General features: G+C 56.8%; 1 annotated feature.

Moving 5' to 3' along the window:
• Positions 1-1,707: part of a centromere (Linear centromere model derived predominantly from reads generated in PMID: 17803354. This region does not represent an actual centromere sequence, as long-range ordering of repeats and unmapped WGS contigs is not provided by the model. For details of model production, see http://arxiv.org/abs/1307.0035.) that runs on past both edges of the window.

Here is a 1,707-nt window from a genome sequence, read left to right on the forward strand (position 1 = left end):
CCCCCCGCCCGGCCAGACGCCCTGTCTGGGAGGGAGGTGGGGGGGTCAGCCCCACGTCCGGGAGGGAGGTGTGGGGGGGTCAGCCCCCTGCCAGGCCAGCCGCCCCGTCCGGGAGGGAGGTGGGGTCAGCCCCCCGCCCGGCCAGCCGCCCCGTCCGGGAGGTGAGGGGCGCCTCTGCCCAGCCGCCCCTACTGGGAAGTGAGGAGCCCCTCTGCCGGGCCAGCCACCCCGTCCGGGAGGGAGGTAGGGGGCTCAGCCCCCCGCCCGGCCAGCCGCCCCGTCCGGGAGGGAGGTGGGGGGTCAGCCCCCCGCCCGGCCAGCCACCCCGTCCGGGGGGTGAGGGGCGCCTCTGCCCGGCCGCCCCTACTGGGAAGTGAGGAACCCCTCTGCCCGGCCAGCCGCCCCCTCCGGGAGGGAGGTGGGGGGGTCAGCCCCCCGCCCGGCCAGCCGCCCTGTCTGGGAGGGAGGTGGGGGGGTCAGCCCCCCGCCCGGCCAGCCGCCCCATGCGGGAGGTGAGGGGCGCCTCTGCCTGGCCGCCCCTACTAGGAAGTGAGGCGCCCCGCTGCCCGGCCAGCCGCCCCGTCCGGGAGGGAGGTGGGGGGTCAGCCCCCTGCCCGGCCAGCCGCCCCATCCGGGAGGTGAGGGGCGCCTCTGCCCCGCCGCCCCTACTGGGAAGTGAGGAGCCCCTCTGCCCGGCCACCACCCCGTCTGGGAGGTGTACCCAACAGCTCATTGAGAACGGGCCGGGATGACAGTGGCGGTTTTGTGGAATAGAAAGGGGGGAAAGGTGGGGAAAAGATTGAGAAATCAGATGGTTGCCATGTCTGTGTAGAAAGAAGTAGACATGGGAGACTTTTCATTTTGTTCTGTACTAAGATAAATTCTTCTGCCTTGGGATCCTGTTGATCGGTGACCTTACCCCCAACCCTGTGCTCTCTGAAACATGTGCTGTGTCCACTCAGGGTTAAATGGATTAAGGGCGGTGCAAGATGTGCTTTGTTAAACAGATGCTTGAAGGCAGCATGCTCGTTAAGAATCATCACCACTCTCTAATCTCAAGTACCCAGGGACACAAACACTGCGGAAGGCTGCAGGGTCCTCTGCCTAGGAAAACCAGAGACCTTTGTTCACTTGTTTATCTGCCGACCTTCCCTCCACTATTGTCCTATGACCCTGCCAAATCCCCCTCTGCGAGAAACACCCAAGAATGATCAATAAAAAAAAAAAAAAATTAAAAAAAAAATAAAAATAAAAAAAAAAAATTAAAGCTAGACAGAAGCTTTCTCAGAAACTCCTTTGTGATGTGTTCATTGAACTGACAGAGTTGAACCATTGTTTTGATAGAGCCATTTTGAAACACTATTTTTGTAGAATCTGCAGGTGGACATTTGGAGCGCTTTGACATCTATAGTGAAAATGATATATCTTCACATAAAAACTGTACAGAAGCATTCTCAGAAACTTCTTTGTGCTGTTTGCTTTCAACTCACAGGCTTGAATATTCCTTTTCATAGAGCAGTTTTGAATCACTGTTTTTGTGGAAATTGAATGTCGATATTTGAACCACTTTGAGTCCTTCGTTGGAAACGGAACACCTTCATATAAAAACTAGACAGAAGCATTGACAGAAACTTCTTTGTGATGTATGCATTCAACTCACAGAGTTGAACCTTTCTTTTGATAGAGCAGTTTTGAAGCCCTCTTTTT

The sequence above is a fragment of the Homo sapiens genome, chromosome 17 (genome assembly GCF_000001405.40).
Source record: "Homo sapiens chromosome 17, GRCh38.p14 Primary Assembly".
In the NCBI taxonomy this organism is placed as follows: Eukaryota; Metazoa; Chordata; class Mammalia; order Primates; family Hominidae; genus Homo; species Homo sapiens.